Source organism: Homo sapiens, chromosome 3, assembly GCF_000001405.40.
Source record: "Homo sapiens chromosome 3, GRCh38.p14 Primary Assembly".
NCBI lineage: Eukaryota > Metazoa > Chordata > Mammalia > Primates > Hominidae > Homo > Homo sapiens.
In genome coordinates, this window is record NC_000003.12 from 85568798 (window position 1) to 85592665 (window position 23868).

Sequence of the window (23868 nt, forward strand, 5' to 3'; positions counted from 1 at the left end):
GGGTTTCACCATATTGGCTAGGCTGGTTTCAAACTCCTGACTTCAGGTGATCCGTCCACCTCGGCCTTCCAATACGGACAATATTCTGAACGTTTTATATGAAATTTTAAAGTTTGCACTCCTCTCTGTAGGCACATTGACATAGTTTTTCATTTTAATCAAACGTCTCAATTTGACATAATTATAAATTCACATCCAGTTGCCACCCCATGGTAACATCTTGCAAAACTGTGCTACAATATCACAACTCAGATATTGACATGGAAACAGTTAAGTCCCAAAACAGCTCTATCACCACGAGGATCCCTAGTGATGCATTTTTATAGGCACACCTACCTCCCCTCCACACCCAATCCTGATTTCTGGCTTTTGTTAACATATGCTGTATAAATGAAATCACACTGGATGTACCTTTTAGATTCTTTTTTTTTCCTTCAGTGTTATTCCCATGAGACGCATGTAAATTGTTGCACCTATCAGCGGCTTGTTTCTTTTTCTTGCTGACTGCTATTCCATGGTAAGACTATCCTATATTATATTTAATCATCTAGCCATTGAAGGATATCTGGTTTGTTTCCAGTTTGGGGTTATTAAGAATAAAGCTGCTATGAATATTTGTGTGCAACTTTTTGTGTGAGTATGCTATTTCCCTGGAATAAATGCCCAGCAGTGCAATTACTCAGTTGAAGAAACTACCCAATTATCTTGCAAAATCACTGTACCATTCTAGCTTCCAGCCAGCAATATACGAGTGACCCTGTCCCCACATCTTTGCCAGCATTTGGTGTTGTTCTTTGTTGAATATTTTATTTTAGCATTCCGATAGGTGTGTAGTGTCATCCTAGGTTTCCAATATGGGATGATTGGTTAGATCAATGTTTTTTAGAGGAACCTTTCTAATGGCAAAAAAAAAAAAAGAAAAAAAAAAGAAAATAGAATGAAATGAGAAATTAGAGTCAATGATGTAACTTAGAAGTAGATTTCAGTGACTTAGGTTAGAAAGAAAAACCTAATCTGAGGCAGAAGAAATGAGGGTTGGAAGGAATTGCTGTGTGTCTTATAATAGTCTTGTAAATACATTATTCAGTATTTGTATATAATTCTCGATTGGCAAAGCAGAACTGGCTGAATTATGTAAATTCCATGGACATTTCCTTTAATTTTCAGTTGCAGAATGTTGCTATTATATAGGAACCTAGCTCATTTTATATGATTCAAACATGTATCTGTTCTTCAGAGCACAGCTCCATAACACAAATGCTAGTGATCATCCTTTAAGCTAGATTACTTTTGTGAATGTAGTTTATAGATTTGACAAATTAATTATCCTTATCCTAAGGATAGTCATTGGAAAAATAGAAACATTTCCTGATATATTTTTCTGTCCATATATTTATTTAGAAATCTGCCTGTCTACCTACTATCATCAATTCATTTTTCTTGACTTTTGGGGAATTTTTTAATGATCCCAACAGAAGCTTAAATAAACATGAGTTAATAATTACATATCAAAACAGAGGCTACCAAGAAGAGCACCAAATATTACAGAGGAAATCTTTTACGAAGCTCAAGTACTAAGGTTATATAATTCTAATAAGTAAAATAAAGAATATAAAATAATGAAACCATTTTTAAGGAGATGAGCTAATGGGGTCCACCAATGCAAATTGTAGATATATATTTACTTTCAGTCATATAGACATAAAGAACAATTAAAGTCTATATTGTAGCATTAAAGAGCTCCATACTGTATTATGATTTTTTTCAGACATATGGTCTTTTGTGAGCACAAAAATAGGTAGCGTTTTTAAAAACTGATTTTGAGACTTAAATTGAAGTATTGAAAAATACTAACCTAACACAGTGATTAGCTATACCCTACATTATTACAGATGGTTGTCTTATTATCCAAGGGAAAAATATAGAATTCCAGATTCTTCTATTACAGATAGAATCTATTGCCACAAATCTGAAAATCAATAAAACTTGTTTTGGGAGAGTAAATGATTACTTGGTAATTTATCTTCTACACCATTTCCAGTGAAAATATACAAAGATTGTGTGTGAGTCTAATCAGGTGTGGAGTGCTATTGAAAAGTAAGAACCGCTGCTCAGAAAAGGGAAATGAGATTTTTGAGGAACTACCTGATTTTTTTTCATTTTATTATAAGAATAACAAAATGTTAGAAGCATGATTATTATGCTTGCTAAATATGCAAAACTGATGGTGAAGTGTGGGCTCATAAGTGAAGCCGCTGATGGGCGGGTCTATTTTCTAGAGTTCTCCTCTACTGCATCCAGTCTGTTGCTCCCTGAAGCTGTTATTCCTGTTACTTCTGTTTCTATCATCCTGAAGTGATGATTTCATACAAAGATATTCATTTGGCATGAAATTCTTATAATTTTATCTAGAAATATGCAAAATAAGAACATTAATAAATTATCCATATGAATGTACTTTCAAGGTGTTAATAATTTATGTCAGATATTCTCATATGAGTCCTTTCCTCAAAATGGCTTTTTTTCCAGTTGATTTATAAAACTTAGTGCAATAGAATTATGACCTTAGAATCTTATGCTTAGGAAACCTTGCAATTATAATTGTCCAGATGTTTTTTTTTTCTGCTGAAATTTTGCAGGCCACTCATTTATGAAAATGTCAGCTGTGTGTCTGTGTGCACACGCATGTGCACATGTGTGTATTTAATTATTGGATAAAAAAAGAAGTTTAAAATAAATAACAACTTGGTCACTTAAAATAGTTAAATCTTCTGTATTATTAATGAACATTATTTGTATATTTGTATATGTCCCATATAGCACATTGAATTCTTACTCTCTAAGCTAAACTTATTTTTCTCATGCTTTGTTGGGAATTCAAATTGCTATGTTGTTTCTCCCAAAGATATTTGGATTGTAACTTTTATATCTAGTTGTTAGTAGATTATAGCACCTGTTAAGTTATTTTCTGACATTGATGGGCAAGTCAATGACTATTTTGTAAGGTCTGCTTTTGAGGTGGTATTGAACATACATACATCAGCCCTACATGACTTATAGTCATGAATGAAATGATCCCAAGATGCAGAAGTTTAGTCATGGTATACAATGTGCTTTGACATTGCCTATGTTAAAAATATGACCAACTTCAGTCTGGGCTAGTTACACAATTACTAACAAGCCAGGTTACTAGAGCTCTATTTCAAAACTTCATGTGGACCAGGCATGGTGACTCATGCCTGTAATCCTAGCAGTTTAGGAGGCCGAGGCCGGTGGATCACATGAGGTCAGGAAGTTGAGACCAGCCTGACCAACATGGCGAAACCCTGTCTCTACTAAAAATATAAAAATTAGCCGGGCATGGTGGCGGATGCCTGGAATCTCAGCTACTGGGAAGGCTGAGACAGGAGAACCACTTGAACCCAGGAGGCGGAGGTTGCAATTGTGCCACTGCTTTCCAGTCTGGGCGACAGAGTAAGACTCTGTGTAAAAAGTAAATAAAAAATAAATAAACTTCATGTGAATTTTCATGTTACAAAGCTTTATGTAAAAATATATGAGGCATAAAAGTTTGTATACTTAAGAAACAAACATACTTATATGTAAATGCATGTACCTATAGGGTTCTCCAGAAAGAAGCAATAAGATGAGTAGAGACAGAGAGAGACAGAGAGAGGGGAGACGGGGAAGAGGTAACTTATTAGGGAAATTGGCGTGCATGATTATGGAAGCTGAGAAATCTCATGACGAGTCTTCTGCAAGCTGGAGACCGTGGGATGCTTGTTATTTGTCTTGGTTCAAGTCCAAAGGCCTCAGAACAAGAAAAGCCAATGGTATAACTCTTGGTCTGAGGCCAAAAGCCTGAGAATCAGTGGTGTCACTAGTCTTTAAGTCCTGGAGTCCAAAGGCCAGCAGGACTGAAGTTGTCCAAGGACAGGAGAGAAAGAGTCCAGCTTCAGTAGATAGATTAACATATTCACTTTTTCTTTTTGTTCTCTCTGAGCCACCAGCAGATTGGATGGTGCCCTACCACACTGAAGATAGATCTTCCCACCAGGTAGTCCACTCAGACTTACCTTTATCTCCTCTGGAAACATACTCACAGACACACCCCAAAGTAATACTTTACTAGCTTTCTAGGTATTTCTTAATCCAGACAAGTTAACACCTAAAATTAACATTACACTGTACATATTATCCTAATCGTGTATACATAAGATGCAGTCCATTTTAGTTAATGAACTATTTTAACAGAAAATATCTTATTGTTATAAATGGGAAAGTTAGGGTATTTCGACAAAAATAGCTTATTTCAACATCTACATGACAATCTCAATGTAATATATAAAAACGTGCTTATTTTATTTATTTATTTATTTATTTATTTATTTATTTATTTATTTATTTATTTACTGAGGCAAGGTCTCGCCTGTTGCCCAGGCTGGAGTGCAGTGGTGTGATCTTGGCTCACTACAATCTCTGCTTCCCGGGTTCAAGTGATTCTCATGCCTCAGCCTCCCAAGAAGTTAGGATTACTGGTGCATGCCACCAGGCTCAGCTAAGTTTTGTATTTTTAGAGGAGACGGGTTTCACCATGCTGGCCAGGCTGGTCTCAAACTTCTGATCTCAGGTGACCCACCGCCTTGACCTCCCAAAGTGCTGGCATTATAGGGGCATTATAGGTGTGAGCCACCGCTCCCAGCCTATATATAAAAGTGTGTGCTTCTAATGGCTATATTTCTATTAACTACTATCAGTGTAACATTGTAAAAGGCACTGAATTAAAACCTCTTGGAATTCTAATCCTGGTTATGATCTTGCATGAATATGTAATCTCAGGATGATAACTTTTCTTGTACAAATTATTGTCCATAAAGTGAAGTGTTTGTGCAATGTCCATCTCTCAGGTATCTATGATCAAATTGTGACATTCACAGTGGCTTGTTGAAAGCTTACAAGTTTACGTGATCTTATTCCCTGCTTTACTATTTTCAAAATCTCTGTGACTACTAATGTCTAATCACTTTAATTAACTAGTCCTTATGACATGTCTGCCCACAGAGACCAATCCTCACCATCCTCACCACATCACCAATACGGATTGAGAGTCTATTGTAGTAATCTACATATGCAACATGTGAAGCATGTTTGAAATTTCAGCTTCTGCTTACCCAGCTGTCCACGATACTGACTGGTTATTTCAGATTATGTCCAATGTATCCATGAGACATTTCATCTGTCTCTCTATGCCTCCTTCCTCCTCATCACTTTACCTAGTACCCTTAGCTATGTGGGATCAGACTTTGTTAGGTTGAAGGGTTAACATTTAAGCAAACACCATATTTCTAGTCCTCAGTCTGGGCAAGTTTTTAGGCCTAGACATTTCCTGTGCTTCTTACCAGTGATGACTGGAATTTGGATCTTGAAGCTCACTGCTCTCACTCCATGGCTAATCATAAACAAAGGATGGATTTGCTTTAGCAACATAGGTTATCTCTATGTCTAATTAGTGCATCCTTGGCTGGGGTTCTGCTAAGGTAGCAAAAAATTGGCTTCCAGCTTTGTGCTGCTAATGAGGATTTTAGTTTGCAAGTATGCTTTGCCTGTAGCAACTTGGTGTGTTCTCTTCATTTTCGGTCCACTTACTGTCAGTCCACTACAGTGTTCCAATTCTGTAAAATGATACATAGGCCCAAGAATGTCTTCCTGTTATGTCTCTAGGGCAAAAAGTGTTCCCTGGCTGAATCATGTAAGGTCCCTCAATCTGTTCAGCTTTCCCTGGTATTACTAACCTTCAAAGACTTAGTTGTTTCATCTCTTTTAGAAGTATAGAAATGTTCAAATGAACCGAAGTAAAACAAAAATTCCAACTCTGTAAAATGTACAATAGAAAATATATACCCAGTGTAAAATCCTCTACTGCATGATATGTTTCTTTAGCTATACATCTAGAGTACATATCTCTTATTTTTCAAATTAGAGGACTCTATCAGTGCGTTGAGAAATTTCTCCTCTACCTCAGTCTAGGGGGTTCTCATAAAATTGTCAGTAGAGCACTTTAGCAAACTCTCTGGTCACAGCAGGAGGCACCTGGTTGTGACCTAGCTAATCCCAGAACCCCATCCCTTTCTCCAAAAAGACCCATTACTCAAGCTGATTACCCTTATTGAGAGTAGATAGACTATAGGAGAGTGAGTCACCTTTTTCTTTTTAAAATTGCCCTCTTTAAAAATATTTAGGCATGTAATAGTTAGTGGCCCCTCCTTCCCCATCAGTGCAAGCCTGAGAAAGAAATTAAGATGGTGACTAGTAGAGAGAGATGAGTCTGAATTAGCTACCATATCAATGAGACTACTCTTATAATTTTCATTTATGTGTATCCGTAAGTTCCTTTTTTGCTTACTCTATTTTCAATTAGAATCTTCAATGAAAATGCATGAACTTACCAAAAATATACTCTTTAAAATGATTGGGCTGGGCGCAGTGGCTCACGCCTGTAATCCCAGCACTTTGGTAGGCCAAGGTGGGTGGATCACAAGGTCAGGAGATCCAGACCATCCTAGCTAACATGGTGAAACCCCATCTCTACTAAAAATACAAAAGATTAGCCTTGCGTGGTGGCGGGCATCTGTACTCCCAGCTACACGGGAAGCTGAGGCAGGAGAATGGCGTGAACCCTGGAGGCGAAGCTTGCAGTGAGCCGAGATGGCACCACTGCACTCCAGCCTGGGCGACAGAGCGAGACTCCGTCTCAAAAACAAAACATAAAAAATAAAATAAAATAAAATAAATGATTGAAATAGTAGCTTGTTATCTAACAGTATGCTAAATTTTTATGTAAAATAAAGAAGATAGGATTATAGAACATGGCTTAATGATTATATGTGAAGACTAGGTTCTTTCACAAAAAGTATGTTTTGAGATGACACTTGCATGATAGTATGATGTCAAACTGTTGGGTGGGAAAAAGGAAGGGGAACTGTGTATAGGAATATATTACAGATAGATTTTAAAAGAGCATGCAAAAATATGTAAAAATAAGAATTTTCAGGAAACTGCAAATTATTCAGCATAGAATGAGTATGTACTGAAGATGACACCTACGTGTAGACAGAAGTGAAAATACTAAGCGCTCAAGACTTCTCTAACCTTTTTGAACCTCAGTGCCCTCATTCATAACAGAGGTAATAATAGTATTTTTCCTAGAGGGTTTTGTGAATTTTAGCACAATCCATGGAAACTGTCTAGCCAAAAGTTCACTCCATAAATGATTTTGCATTTCTATATAGTGAATCATGTGACACCTCTTAGTATAACTACCAGATTGTCAACTTTGTTTTAACATAATTTATTTATTATAAAAATTAGTTATGTAAACATTAAATTTATGTCTTCAATAAAAAGTTATTTTCTTAGAGAAAATCATCTCTGCTTTAGAAGCAGTTGCCTTGCCTGAAAGAGGTAGGCAAGGCTGCCATCTAGTGGCAGTACCTTAGAACTGCGGACATATGGTCCTCAAAGCTGAGAAAGCATTCAAATTCAAATCACACAAAGTGATCTCATTTGAGAACAAAGAACATCCGACGATTGCTGGATACATCAAATTTGTATTCCTGCTGTGCATTTTATGACAAAATCCTGAATCTGACAATTTAAAAAAAATGAGTTTAAAGCAGTGCTTCCCAAAGTCACCTTAAAAATGTTGAGATTCCATGACAATGTTTACACACACATATGGAGGCACAAACATACTCATACACAAATATTAGTATAAAGTAACTAGATTTTCTCTCTTGGAAGTGTTGTTTCCTTTTATAAAATCATAGCGATAGTGCATTCTGACTCTTTTTATTTATTCATTTGGAGTTAATGTTATAATTTTTCAAATTGCAGGGCCAGCAGTCGTATTTCAAATCTCAAATTTTTGACCAAAATTATACATTTCTCCCCTAACCAAAAGTTTGAGAAAATCTGGTTTGAAGGAGTCATCTACTCTTAAAACTATTACTACAGCTCTCCGATAACTATTAACCTAGACTATACCACCCTCCCTTTTATTCTCTATTCATGTGAATAATATCCCCTATTGTATTCTATAATAGTCTTCTATTGTTTACCCAGAGCCACCAAGAAGAGACAGCAACAAATAGAACACAAATGGGGACAAGATCTTATTGTTGGCTGACTAAAATGACCATTGTGACAAAATTCTCCTGGATGTCAAGTCCGGAAAAATATTTGTCACTACTAATGAACTGGCAAACCTTCTATATAGACAATGAAATCTATGTACCCCATCTGAGTCTTTATCCGTTGATTCTCTATTTTTTTTCTTACAAAGGGTTTTCCAGTTTACATTGTGCATTCACCATTCATAAATTACTTTCAACTTGAAGCTTCTTTCAGTTGCATTTAAGGATGCTATGATTTGAACGTGTCCCCCGGAGTTCATGTGTTGGAAGCTTAATCCCCAATATAACGGGGTTGAAAATGGGGCCTATAGGAGGAGATTGGGTTAGAAGGGCTCTACCCTCATGAATGAATGAATGCTGTTATCATGAGAGTGAGTTAGTTCTAGAGAGAGTAGGCTTATTATAAAAGCAAGTTAGGCCCTCTCCTGCCCCGTTGCTCTCTCGCACGTGCTCTCTTGCCCTTCCTCCTTCTGCCATGCAGCAAGAAGGCCTTCAGCAGATGCAGCCCCCTCAACCTTGGTCTCCTGAACTTTAAGACATAAGTTTATTTCATTCAAAAATCGCCCAGTCTGTGATATTTTGTTATAGAACACAAAACAGGCCAAGACAAAGGACATTTTTTTCTTATTTTCTATTATTAAAAACATGTATTTTAATATTTTGTTTTTTTCCAAACACCATCTTACCTATATTTCATGTTTTATTTTTAAAATTAAAAACATTTTAAATGCCTTAAATTTAGCATTGTAATCTGTGAACTCTATTTTTATTGTTGTTTTATTTTTTAACAAGTAAAGTTTTTAAATTGCCCTATAACTATTATTTTATAAACCTTTCTGTGTAACATCAGACAAATGGAGAACAAGTATAAGAAAACAATGTATATTCTGTTTAGAAAGCACATATTCTGCTCACTGTCCCAAAATCAGTCTTGTTTCACTAAAAAATTATCCTCTAACATTATAAGATTTTTATAATCTTACCTATTAATCTCTTTCCTTCCTTCCTTCCTTCCTTCCTTCCTTCCTTCCTTCCTTCCTTTCTTCCCCCCCTTTCTTTCTTATTTTATGTTGTTTATTTATTTTTATTTATTTTTATTTTTTGAGGCAGAGTTTCACTCTTTCACCCAGGCTGGAGAGTGGAGAGCAGTGGCGCGATCTCGGCTCACTGCAACCTCCACCTTCCGGTCATTTTCCTTTTAATAGGTGTCATGTGATGACAGGTAGGAAGTCTGCATTGTCAGATGCACTAATGATTATGTAGTAGTTTCAAAACAAAGCTAAAATTACTGAAGAGTGTGTTCTAAAATGAAAATCAGAAGACACACCACTCATCCTCAACTCTGAAGAAAGCAACAAATACATTGTTTGCAATATCATTTTGAGAGTAGGCGCTGGATTTTCTCTAACATAGGTTTTTATACTGATATGAGAGAGATGTTTTATAATGAGAGTTAAATGAGGTTAAAAACAGGGCAAAGGCCATACTTAAAAAAATAAATAGATCAAGACTTTAGAGTTCTTTTGTTTAACAGCCCTTCTGGAGGGTAAACTTTTATGCAGGTCAAGCACTTGAAACCATAATTTATTCGTCAGCATCACTTTCTCTAGCTATTCTTCATGAAACAGCATCATGATACTTTGCAAAGGAATGTGATTATACAACCTGATAGTACTTGTGTGCACTGATAAAGCAGGAAAAGATGATTGTATTCTTATTCTTTTGCATCTATGAATTTAAATTTCAATTAAATCAGATTAGATATTCTGTTCTATGTCATCTTTATTTAACATTAGTGGTGATTAGTTTCTAATTTCTGTTGCTATTGATATCAACTTTATACCCTCCCATCTGTGATTATAAAGTCGAGTCATTCACACACTCCCATTATATTTATTTGTATTTTAAATTGAAAAGGTGGAGAACTCTTAAAATTTAACAAAGTGTGAAATGTTTCAAATTAGCAGCCACGGTGTTGCAAGTATTAAAGCACAAACTGGGTTGTTGACGTCTTATAGCTGCTAAAAGTTTGAAGCTAATTTCAAATTGTGTTTTATCTTCTCCTTAAAAATAAATGAGTAAATAAATAAATAAAAGATTTTCTAGGTACCTCTGGATCCAGTGGTAATATCTAAGGAAACTAATTAGCAAGATATTTGTATAAGTAGATTTGAGCAAATAAATTTGAGTCATGAACTTAATTTATAATTTTTAAAACTCAATCCTCCAAAAATATACCATCCTACCTTCCTTCATTCTTCCTCATTTTGTTATTTTTCCTTGAATTTTATTGCAGGTGATTGAATCCCAGGTATCCATTTACTCTAGGACTCTTTCTTTATTCCTCATCCTTAGTTTCCCCAGACCCATTTGGTCTCACAATCACTGCCTAGTTTACGACCTAACCATTTCTCAGATGTGTGCATGCAACAGCATCCTAATGGGTCTTTGTGACCAGCAATTTCAACATGCACAAGGCTGCTATGCTGACTTGTCTAAAATGCAGATTTAGTCAGTTCCTTTCATGGCTCCCCATTGCTTAATGATAGAGTCAAGTTTGTTAACATGCAATGAAATAGCTGTTGATTTATTCTGAGTAATTACACTTACTTTTGATTTTCAGAATATAATGGTAAAATTCAGTTCTTAAATGTTACTAAAATTATTAAGGTAATATTAATAATATAAAAAGTAAGTGCCAGTGACCTAATGAAACATTTAAAATGATGAATGGCCTTGTGTAGAAAAAATATGGGCTCAATACAGGTCTCTAATTCATATAGATTTATATAGATATCTAATTTACATAGATATATAGATTCATATAAATATGTATATTGCATTTATATGTATACATATGTATTTATATGTTTGTGTGTATGTGCATCTGTGTGCATGTGTGTACACATTAATGTGTATATGTACATCCTGCAGAAAATGTATATGTTTACATACACATATGGGAAGAAGTCATGACACAGATTTCTTGTTCTATACATGCCTTAGAAATGCAAATAATTCCATTGTTTTTACTCAGCTAAATCATTGTCAATGGCTTTGACATCTACGTTTTGAGGATGGCAAGAAATCATTTACATAATCTCAGTTTACACCAATTATTTCAAATTAAGATCATTCAAATCATTTAAAACCAGGAAACTTCGAAATGTAAGTTATTTATTGACCCATTTAATCATTTCAGTTATTTACTACAATGCTATCAACCTAGAATTTAGTAGCAGTTTATCCCATTGCATATGCAGGAGGACAGTATCTTCAACAGAATGTATCAAATTGTCTAACATCATTCATGTTTAATATTTCTTTTGTTCCATTTAAGAAAAAAAAATAAGAAGAAGAAATAACCTTTCCGATGCATCTTAGTTTGTGAGAAACTGTGGGTGGTAGTTTAAAAGGTGGTTAGAAAATTATCCCCTAAAGACATTTTAGGTTAAACAACTTTCAGAATAAGATTAGAACTAACCCAACGGTATTGGAATGAAAGGGTGATGCGGGTGGTAAAGGTGGCTTGTGGCCAAAAACTAATTAGCATTGCATAAATTACTAATCAAATTTCCTTTTTCAAATATAGATATGATTTATTCCAGGGAGGGTCCTGGTATAATTGACCTAAATAATGACCTATTTTTTCTATCTTTCCTGGTATCAAATAAAAGTCTTCTGATAAATGGGAATTTGTCAAGTGAATTTCCTGATATTATTTCATTAACAAATTCATAATTTTGTTAAAACTACAATGCAGAATGAATCCTATTACAAAAACCTTGCAAAATACTGTCAAATTTTATATTATAATAATCTTTCATTTGTATATTTCACTTGTGATAATTAAGTTAATACATGTAAAACAGTTTAGAACAGAATTTGTTAAATGCTAAATGCTTAGAATATGTTAGCTGTTATTTTTACTATTATATGTAGATTCATTCCAGTACACAAAGATCTTGATTTCTATATACACACATTTAAAATGGAGAAGTATATTTGAAGTCTAGTATGACGTTTGGTTTTTTGTTTTTACTTGTTGAGACTATTGAGCATAAATTATCATTACATGAAATGTTCCCATAGATTATTTTTAATGATTACTCTGCACACTATGTTTAGAAACATGCCTAATTTTTAAAATGACTTTAATCACTTGAATTTACATTGCACGTACATTTGTCCACATTTGAATGTTCTTTTAAAACTTTTCAATGTGCTCTTTCATTCATTAAGCCAATCAACAAACAACAGAAATATTATATACTACACTAGGTCTATGCATAAATATTTATGATATCTATTTTGAGGAAGAAGCTAATGTCTAGACATTGAGACCTACGGGAATAAAAACAGTCATTCTCTCTTGTTATATATGTTAAACAGAAACACGTAAGAATTAGAAAAAATTCTTCCTGAAAAAGTCAAGGTTGTTTCAAGAAAAAAAAAAAAAGGACTTTGAGGGTGAAAAAGAACATATGAAGCAAGAGAATAAAATGATCTATGAGGAAGAAATCATGCTTCAAGCTATCGAGTCATTTTAAAAGTATATTTTTTTCTTTTCTGTATTTGCAGCACAATTACAAGCAAGTTTTTGTTAAACTACCTTTAATTTAAGAGGGCATTTAAATTGAACCCTGTAACACTTGAGAGCTTGCCCAATAATCCCTGAAGCTGAATAAACTTGCTCATACATGGAAAACTGGGCTATCATTTCTTTGCCTTCCAGCAGTGTGGTAATTACATGGGCAATATCTGGACAAAAGTGAAGCCAAATAAAGACATTATCAGACATCTTAAGTTCTTAGTGAGCTTCGAGTATTTATACTTCAAAAAAAAAAAAGGTGAACTGAAGGTTTTAAATATATAATGTGGTTATGATGAATTTTAAACCATGCTATTTTATTTGAAGTGTTTTTTGTTTTGTTTTGTTTTGTTTTGTTTTGTTTTTTAATGAAGTCTTGCTCTATCACCAGGGTGGAGTGCAGTGGTGTGAACTCTGCTCACTGCAACCTCCACCTCCTGAGTTCAAGCAATTCTCCTGCCTCAGTCACCCAATAGCTGGTACTACAGGCACGCGCCACCAAGTCCAGCTAATTTTTGTATTTTTAGTAGAGATGGGGTTTCACCATGTTGGCCAGGATGGTCTCGATCTCTTGATCTCATGATCCGCCTGCCTCAGCCTCCCAAAATGCTGGGATTACTGTCCTGAGCCACCACGCCTGGCCCTTAATTTGAAGTTCTAATAATAGAGTCACTCTAAAATTTTGAGAGAAAATAAATCCCAATAAAATATAAGGAAGCATGAAAAGTAACAATAAGCCAGAAAGCATAATTAGGTGAATCAATCAATGGAATCCAAAAATTGTTCTAGCAGATGATAACTGATTCATTGATCTGCTTGTTAAACGAGATTTTTAGAGATGGTTTATTGCAGAAGTAGTATATGAGTACTGTCTTAGTTAGCGCAGGCTGCCATAACTAAATAAATGTTGATGCCTTCAACAACAGATATTCTCAAGTTTTGTTGAGGGCTCTCTTCCTGGCTTATAAACAACTGCCTTCTGGCAGTGTTCTTACATGGAAGATGGAGAGAGAGCAAACTCTGTGGTTTCTTTTCTCATGAGGGCACTAATCCCATCATGAGGACCCCATCTTCATAATCTCAGCTACACAGAATTAACTCCCAAAGGCCCCATGTCCAAATACCATCACATTGGGAACTGGGCATAACATTTGAACTCTTGGCAGACATAATTAGACAACAGAAAGTACTAAAAATAGAGTTGTCAGCTATTTATCTTGGAAAGTATTGTACAAATGCTAGGAATCTAATAGAGTGAATGAAATGGGTGAGTAGAATCTCTGCTTCACCACATCCTTGTTGGTGACGGTTGGCAAGTCATTTACTTACCTTCTCTGAGCATTAGTTTCCAAATTTGTAAAATAAGGGTGGTAATAATACCTACCCCAAAAAAGAAAAAAGGTGTTTAGGACTGAAAGAGATAAATTACTTATGTGTTTAGTACAGTGCCTGGTGTATAGGAAGTGCTGAATATATGTTGGTGGGGATTTTTAATTATTATTTACTATACGTTAGGAATAAAGTTCAAATAGATTCCTGAACTTCATGACAACTGGCAGTCTTTGAGTCCTACATGTCTTTAGTACCACAGAAGCAGCTATTATAAGAACTCGAAAAGCCTGAGATGTGTATGGCTTTGTAAATTTGGGTCTCTGTTGAATTGATGATGGCTTCATTCACTCATTTAGTCAGCCAGTTTGTATAAATAATTTTTGAGAACCAGGGTTGGATATTTTCCTAGGTTGCCAAAGGCGAACTTCACCATATTCACACTGTTGTTTAGAATTGGAGATCTCAAGTTGAGGACTTTTTTTCTGGAAACGACTGTCCTACTAAAGCAATAGTAAGTGGTCACAGGAGGGTGAAAGTTATATCTTTTGCTTATCTCTAATCATTGTCATTCTAAAAACAATAAAGTCAACATGAAAAGCTTTGGAAACATAGTGGAAATTGAGCAAATGGTTTCATTTTAGAATCATTCTAGATGGTTGAAACTAAACTTTTAAAAGTTCAATAGGATTATAGAAGATGTTTATTTTTAAATACATTATCATTAAATGTGGGAGCAAATGGGACAAAAAATAAACTTTTAAATAATCTGTAAAGCAACAACCAAACCTTTTAAAAAGGGTAATAGATTTATGAATAGTATCTGTTCTAATAATTTCCATATATTAAAAATTACTTGAAATCAATGTGTTTCAGCAAGAAATATTAGCATGAAATTACATTTTTTTAAAGAGAACCATTCAAAAATAAGCAGAATGCTTATCAGAATCAAGATTATGAAATATTGCAATTTTGAAATATAAATTTGAAAATTCCAACTATAGAAAATTTCCCAATATAATGACTACCACTTGTACTTTTAAATATATGCATTTATTTAGATTACTTAGCCTGTTCATGAGGACATCCATAGATTCAAAAAATTACTTTCTACCCTTTATTTATAATGCAATTTGTCATATTGTTAAAATTATGCAAAAATTTTATTTGTAATTAGTAGAATTGAGAAACTATTTTTGGTTAGTGTAAATTTAGCTTTATGGTCATCTAGCTTTTACATATACATATAAACATATAATATGTGTATACTTCAGTTGTAATATTTAATGATCTTTAAGAGCCTCACATTTTAAATAAAAACCAAGAAAAATGCAGGTGTCAGGAAAGCAGTCTGTAGAATACTGATAATATTCCACTGGGAGCATTCTGTATATTTCAGTCTAGAGGAAATTAATCCCTCTACCTTAATCACTTCTGGTTGGGTTCATTTTTATACTAAGATATAAAGTTCAAATTTAAACACAAATAATATGCAAATAATATTATGCTACCCGTTTATCTACAGTAATGCAAAGAAATTCGAAGACTTAACTACTTGGTTTTATTTGTTTATAAATATATGTTATGGTGCTTGCCGTCAAAAGGGGATAATTAAATTTCCCAAGTTTCCTAAAGATGTGACATTTAAGTTGCTACACCACCTTACTGTTTCTAATGTTAGTAGTGTGAAAATGTACTTCCCCTTTTTTGTCCCAGAAGTTCACATGGCCAAAATTGACTTGAAAAAGAAAAGAAAAATAGGATGATATTGGAACGTGCATTGTCTTTGTAAGGGAAGCACAATATTTTTAATTTTTCATGGATTCTGAGACAGATTGGCTCTGCTTGTAGCATCTGAAAGTTACAACTCAAGACAGTTCTTATATAATTACCTCAAGAACCTGTCATTTAATTCCATCATTCCTGAAATTTAAAGCTTGTGCTACTTCTAAGCTAACTTCTTGTGGGAACTGATAAAGATTTTATCAGTTAAATTTAATCTTCATCAGAGAATAAACCTGAAGAGAGATTTGTGAAATCGGAAGTACAGTGGTCACCCTTTAGCCGCGGTTTCACTTTCCATGGTTTCAGTTAACTGCCTTCAACTGCGGTTGAAAAATATTAAATGGAAACTTCTAGAAATCAACAATTCATACCTCTTAAATTGCATGCCATTCTGAGCAGCGTAATGGAATCTCATGCAGTCTGCTCCATGCCTCTCGGATCCTGAATCATCCCTTGGTCCAGCATATCCACTCTGTTGAAACCACCTGGCCATAAGTCACTCAGTAGCTGTCTTGTTATCAGATCAACTGTGGCAGTATTACAGTGTTCGTGTTCAAGTAACCCTTACTGTAATTTGGATCCACAGTGGATCCAAAGTGCAAAATTATTGATGCTGGCAATTCAGATATGCCAAACAGAAGCCATAAAGTGCTTCATTTTTAGTGAAACGGTGGAAGTTGGTACTTGAAAAGAAAATATATACATATATATGTATATATATATCTTGTATGATGAGGTTTATAAGATCTATGGTAAGAATGGCTCTTCTATTCATGAAATTGTGAAGAAGTGAAAGGAAATTGTTGCTGGTTTTGCTGTTTCATCTCGAATTCTTTATCATAGGAATGTTTGTATAAAAAAACATAGTATATATTGGATTGGGTACTATCTGCACTTTTAGGCATCCACTGACGATCTTGAAACATACCTTCTGAGGATAAGGGGGATCTACTGTAACAATTTTAAACATTTATCAAAATTTGCTGTGTAGGAGATCTGTGTTCTAAAAGCTGTTAATTTCAAAGATGTCACCAGAGACAAAATAATAGAGATTTAGAGTTTGGAGAAATAGGCTTGGTCCCTTTTTAAATGTCACCATGTTACGTAAGTTGTTTTAGCCAGCTGAGCCCTATGATCTTATAATACAGGGGAAAATAAATGCCTCATTTATTTCACAGGGCTGTTGTAAAGATCAAATAAGATAATACAGGTGTGACAGCTCTTAGTAAACTTTAACCATGTAAACATAAATGTTATCATTTTTTTAATGGATATGATACTGCTTAGTGACTCCTATCTAAAATAAAATTAATCTCAGCTGTACTTCTAGGGATTTTGTTCTACAATTCAGTGTGTGATTTTGTTTAAAGGGGAGCCATCACTCATTAAAGTGTGGTTGATGTTCATGCTGTTCCCATTTGTCCGGTTTTTTACCTATCATCCACTGATAGTCATTCATGAACATTTAAAATGTACCACAACAGTCTGCTACAGCACGGCCTGTCTTGCATCCCCCTAGCTCATGCTGGGCTTTCACAATGGAGCCTGCTGAGACAAAACAGTTTCACAGTCTTCTTAGGGTGAATTACTTTCCATTTATCCAGGATAAATCAAATTCTAAGCAATTCATAGCAAAAGCCTCCTTAAAACAAAACAAAAACAAAAACAGAAAAACAATAGAATAAAGCACACAGATTTTCTTTGCAAACTCTAACGTACCTATTTCTGGTAATGAAAATGTGGATGAAACAAGGAAAAATAAAATGATAATTACAAGTGCAATATTTCATAATACAGTTGCTATTTCCCATTTAGATTTCATTAGAAAAGATGATTTGTAAAATAAATACAGTTACAAATATTTCCATTTTGCAGTAGAATTACAATTTATCTTGGGAGCCCAAATATCAGTTAAAATACAAACAGATGTGGCTATTTTAAAGTCACGTATATTAATAAATCTGTTAGGTTGGTGCAAAAGTAACTGTGGTTTTTACCATTCCTTTTAATGAAAACAGCTATATGGCTCAATTTGACCACACAACTTCAATAAGTAGCATCTTGAAAATCCAATGTCAAGTATCATCTCTGAATAACTTTATTACAAAAGAGAAAAGTATCCATGACACTCCAGCAACTGAATCCCCTGAAATAGTCCCCACATTCTAGTGAGTAGGCCTAATGTTTTTCCACTTGGTAAGGACTTAACTTTCAGCCTACAGACAATCATGAGAATGGCCCAATGAGGGGTAGCATGCTTGCCACATGGAGATTCCAGTACATGGAAGGCCAAACAAAGAAGAAATAGTAGATGGGATTCATTTTGATAAAGTTATTTTGGTGTCATACATTTGAAGTTTTATTCTTATTTCTACCAGTCTTCCTGAGATTTAGCTTTCTAATTTGCAAAATGGGTATAATTTACCTACTTCATCAGGAATCTGTAAGGACTGAAAATATTTGTAGATGAGATAGCCTGGCAGGAACTGAATGGGTCAGTAGAAGTTGCTAGGCCATTATGTCTGAGAAAAGATAGGAAGTTAGACATAAACGAAGCCCAAGATATAAAAAATACAGTGACCCAAGTCACGCATTATTTATCGATCATAAAAAATTGAGCAAACAAGAAAAATCTTATTTGTTCCAGTAATAGTAGGGTATATTCACAAGTCATGTGTTTTTCTATGAATTAAAGAATCCAGATAGGTAGCACCTTATCCTTATTCAAAATGAAATGTCTTAGGCAAAGAATTCAGATCTCTCAGTGGGAAAATTGTCTTGACATGGATTGCCACTGAATATATATTAAAGTAAGATGCCAATAGTAGAATTCCTAGCGAGTCACACTAAATAGTCAACCCCTATGATCCTTGGGTGTACATAGAAATTGTCTTGTCTTTGCTTTAACCATGTACCAAATGACTGTCCCTTTTCATGTTTCATGAATAAGTTCATAAGTTTCATGAACTTATTTGAAAATTCTGAAGTGCCTCTTCCATAATGGCAACAAGAAACATTGTGTCCATAAAATTATACGAGTGGATTTCAGTTCAATGACATTTTTTTTTGAGACAGGATTTTGCTCTGTCACCCAGGCTGGAGTGCAGTGGTATGATCTTGGCTCACTGCAGCCTCAACCCCCAGTACTCAAGCTATCCTCCCACCTCAGCATACTGAGTAGCTGGAACTACAGACACGCGTCACCATCCTCAACTAGGTTTTTGGTGGTTTTTGTTTTGTTTTTGTATTTTTTGTAAAAACAGGGTTTTGCCATGTTGCCCAAGCTGGTTTCCAATTCCTGGGCTCAAGTAACCACCTGCTTCAAGCTTTCCAAAATGCTGGGATTACAGGCATTAGCCATCGTGCATGGCTGGCAAAATCTTAAGAAGGGGTAATTTGTAAAACCCAATCCTGACTCATTTCAGAAATAATTTGTCACAGAAAATGATGCATCTATCACCTGTCATAATTGCCAGCAAATATTATTTAAAAGCATATATCCAGGTAACAACAAGATACAAGCATTGTTTAAAAATATGACCACTGTTGATGGTGCATAGACAGATTTTATTCTAAAATTCTGATGTTTTAATTTTAGTAGAGATGTACGGTGGCTTGTGTGGTTAAGGATGTAGAGATGATGTCTAAAATGCATTTCTGCTAGTTGATTGGAGGGAAAATACTCACCCCACATTGACAGTTAAGTTTATGATACAGTGTTGCAAAAGGGAGGAATGCAAGCAAGCAGCAATAAGAGCCAGCAGATCTGCATTAACATTTTATACGTTGAATTTAATAATGTATTCTTCATGCTAAATAACTTTCTGAAACTTATTTCATCTGATTTGAGATGTGATTTGAGAACTGCCAATACGTTAAGCAATCTGCTGCAAAATTGTCTGTTTTCATCTAAGTACCTCTGTATCATCTTTAGCTCTGCTGTGTACTGATTTTTTTATGCAGCCCTACTCAGTAAATCAGAGAGCTTAATCTTATGTTTCCAGTAGCAACAGTATGCTAGGGGGATTATTTTGGCTACATTTTGAGGCCAGTAAGAAAAGGCAAATGTCAGCATCAGGGCAGACACTCTGGTAGGTGCAAATAGTGCACCTGCCTGGAGAACCAATTAGATTAGACAGTAGAAGCAAGGCAACAAGTGGGAGGCAACTGCCAGCAAGGTGGGATTTTGAGTCTGGAGAATGCCTGTCCATTTCATCCACTGCTGGAAGATGCATTAAATATTTCACTGGTAAAAGTTTATTCTTTTAGGTCTTGTGTTTCCCAAATGGCTATTCTTATTAAAATATAAGCACCACAGGGAAGGTCAAAGGCTATGCATTATGTCAGATTTATACAGTTTAGTATGAATGGGTTCATGAGAGCCAGTCCTTAGAAAAGATTTTGATAAAGGGAGTGGTGAGGGAATACTCTAAAGGAGAGACACATGTTTGTGTGTGGGGAGGAGGCTGGGGGTGTCACCCTGTAATGAGTATTTCATTTTACCACTTCACTGTTTTGCTTGACTAACTGCCCAGATGTGAGAGTTCCAACCTTGTTTGAGAGCTCCCATGTGGTTTTAGTTCTCCTGCGGTAATATTTGAGTTTCTGACCCTAAAACCTCAATTACTTAGGCACAATAGCATTGGGTTGATTCCTTTCATTCCAGAGAGAAGTCGTGGTCCAATAGAAAAGACAACAAGTAAAAATCAGTTCCAGTACTGACTAGCTGCAGGACCACTTGACCCTAACCAGCCCATGATCACCCTCTGGTACGTGACTCCCTGTCTCAGAATTGTTCTGTCATAGGTACCAGATTCCATGCTTCATTAGTATCCTGTAGGCTGGTCTAACGCAGGCCTTATACTTGGCTGAATGCAGTGTATAAATATGGTAACACCTGGACATACACATAGGGAACCCAGAGACAAGAACAAATAAATATTTTTAGTATTGATATTTACATACAGTTTTCTCTTTGCTTCTGTTAAGAAGAAATTTGTTTAATTATTTTGAAATTGTACTTTTTATAAGAAAATAGATACAATTATAATCATTGGCAATTTCCTGATCAAATTACATAAAATTTGGTGGACCTTAGTTTAGGAATTTATAAAAAGAACAGTGATCATTAAGAAGGAATGAGAACAAATTTACTGAAAATATGTTATGGGAGGAGTAAGTAAAATACAGAAATGAAAATAAACTTATTAGATTTAAGGGAAAATGCCAATTGGTTAACCAGGTAAAGAAATAGTGGTATTTCTATGACTAGGTATAAGCAAAAAGAAACAGATATACAGTATATCTTAAGAGACACTTTTGTGGAATGTACATTTAAAAACAGGTTCAAGGAGTGTATATTTATTTACATGGTAATAAATATGCAATGAAGCCATCAGCTTGCTGGTCATGGATAGTTCACATGTAGAGAAGTTTTTATCTGTACAGTTCACCAGATCCAGGTTAAAACACTTTTTAGAACAAATAGAGCCAAGCAGAAAAATAGAAAATCATCTAGGGAAATATATTTTGCTAGTAAAACTTATACAGAAGTGGCCTTTGACATATGACAAAGACTATGCTAAGGTAGAGAGAATAGTTTGTCATAAATACCAACCCAGAAGTGAAGTTTGGGGGCAACAAGTGTGGAAGCTGTAAGAAGGTAAGCGCTTTATAGTACTTGACCTCAATGAATTCATTATCTAAATAATTCAAACTTTTAGACTGAAAGCAAAAAAATCATTAGGACAGGTAAATGCACTAGAAAAATACACATGTGGCATGTTAGAGTGTTTTGAAAGAAGACTTGAAAGCAAGACTGTTGGAAGGAAAACATAATTTTTTATTCACTGGGTACTGTGACAGTAAGAAAATTAATTATACAAATTCCATTTAAGCGAGAATGAATGTTTTTGAACTGTTATAGAATGAAAAATAAACATTTAGGGACAAGAATTAAAGGAAAGGCTTTGAAAAATAATGGGTGAAAAGGGTCTGGAACATAGGTGATAAGGAATGATTTGCTAAGAACAAAATGAATAAACTCTATGAAATATAAATTAGTCTATTGACAAATACCTAGAGGAAAGCTAAAGCAATTGATCTTCAACAAAAATAATGTTAATAGAAATATCTTCACACTATAAACAAAAAAGGATAATTTTAGGTTTTTAGGTTATACTATACTCAATATTTTTAAAAATGAATATGAAATTTATTTATTTGGAAACTCATTTTTTTTTTGCCTGTCTTCTTGTTTTTGGTTAATTGGTTGATTGGTATTTTGTAGTGCTTAAGCTAGAATAATTCTGGTTTGCAGTATCTTTTGTGAGGAAAATAAGAGTTTGGTCAGAAGTGCTATCACTGGTCTTGCCTAGTAATATTTCAGTGTAAGTGACTTTCCTGAAAATCAACAATTTGTTGTGAGAACCTTGACACTACTTTCCAGTTTTAGTCCTTTTAAGCCTGTTATTCATCTGAGCAGTTAAATATTTTGTCTTGCTTTAATTTCAATGAAACTGAACCTTCACTGATGCTAAAATTCTGTGCACTCCAGAAATCTGTGAAAATTAAAAAGAATTGAAGATGATCCATTTTCTTAGAGTATGTACTTTTGGAAGTCTGGACAAGTGGGAGTATATTTAAAATGCAAATATTATACTTGAGATGCTAAAATAATTTACATTCTGAGGCTGCAGTTTAAATATAATTGCATTACATTAAAACAGTTGGGTTTATGGTGTGATATAAATTTGGTTTATTTTTTGCAGATTTATGGTGACTAGGATTTTGTTTTGATCTTGTAGTATATACGGAAATTTCACCACCATCACTTATAATTTGTGAAGCTTTAGCAGCAACATTTGTAAACACAAGGGAATGTTTTCACTTTTTAGTTGGGGAAGAGCAGATGGTTGGGATTAAGGGAATCACTCCTTCGTGTTTAATAATGCAGCAGGGAAGGCAGTGGCAAGCTAACTTTTCACCAAGAGAGAATAATTTTTCAGAGCATCAGCTAGATCTTTGCTAGCTAGAATAGAGCCCCTTCAGATGTGTACCATCTGCATGGGAGTGAGTCACAGCAAAAGATCTAATAATACTTGTAAAATACACTTTGTTCCCAGTGAATTCTATATAGAGAAAATAATCTCTGTATTTGATGGAAGGGACTGATGAGCAGAAATTTGCATCTAAGTAGCAGATTGTCGAATAGAAATTTAGTAAGACCACAGAACAGGCATAGGCCAGGCAATGAAACACAAAAGAAACCAATTTTTAAAAATCAGGTAACTTCCTGGATTCATTATAATGTATAGAAAGACTTAATAGAAATGAAAGATGATTTTCAAATAAATATTATTTAAAAATAATGTAAAGAATTGATTTGTAGTCATCCAGCAAATGTTTGCAAAGAGTAAATTTATAATATGATTTAAAAAAGGATGAATTAATTTTATATTAATATAACAAGATGGAAAACAGAACATTGATAAAACATATTATTATCTAATGCAAACACAAGAAGAGAGAAAAATTGTAGAGAAATAACAGGTTTTTAATGATCAGAGTTTCACTGTAATTGATGATTATTAAAAAGAATTTGATAGACTGAAGATGAAGTGATTCTCTCAACATGTACTCTTTCACATCCACTGCTAAGAAAAATGCAATACAGTTGACCCATTTAATGGTCATCTCAGTTTGGCTCCTTAACACCAAATTCTACAGGAGCTGCTTTCAAGCCATCAGTGATGCGAATAGAAGGAAAAAAATTACTGTAACCACAGACTTAGTAACTGAACAGAACTTTTGCCCACAGGAATCATAGGTTAGAGGATGGAATTTAACTGTTTTTCATGGTTTTGGGTCAACAATACCTTTATATCTAGACCTTCATGGAAACAAGAAAAAGCATATATATTGGTGAGTATGATAGTCTCATACTCATGAATTTAGGTAAGAAATATAACT

The 23868-nt window shown here is 34.5% G+C and overlaps 1 protein-coding gene across 15 annotated transcripts in view, besides 1 other annotated feature; it reads left to right on the forward strand.

Moving 5' to 3' along the window:
* CADM2 (cell adhesion molecule 2) overlaps positions 1 to 23868 on the forward strand; it is a 1115441-nt gene that overhangs the window by 609809 nt on the left and 481764 nt on the right. The window lies entirely within an intron of this gene.
* Positions 7291 to 7867: an enhancer, noted in NCBI's record as "OCT4-NANOG hESC enhancer chr3:85625238-85625814 (GRCh37/hg19 assembly coordinates)". NCBI's record gives its function as "activates a minimal SCP1, AML or CMV promoter by ChIP-STARR-seq in naive H9 embryonic stem cells {active_cell/tissue: H9 hESC(naive)}" and the evidence as "EXISTENCE:reporter gene assay evidence [ECO:0000049][PMID:30033119]".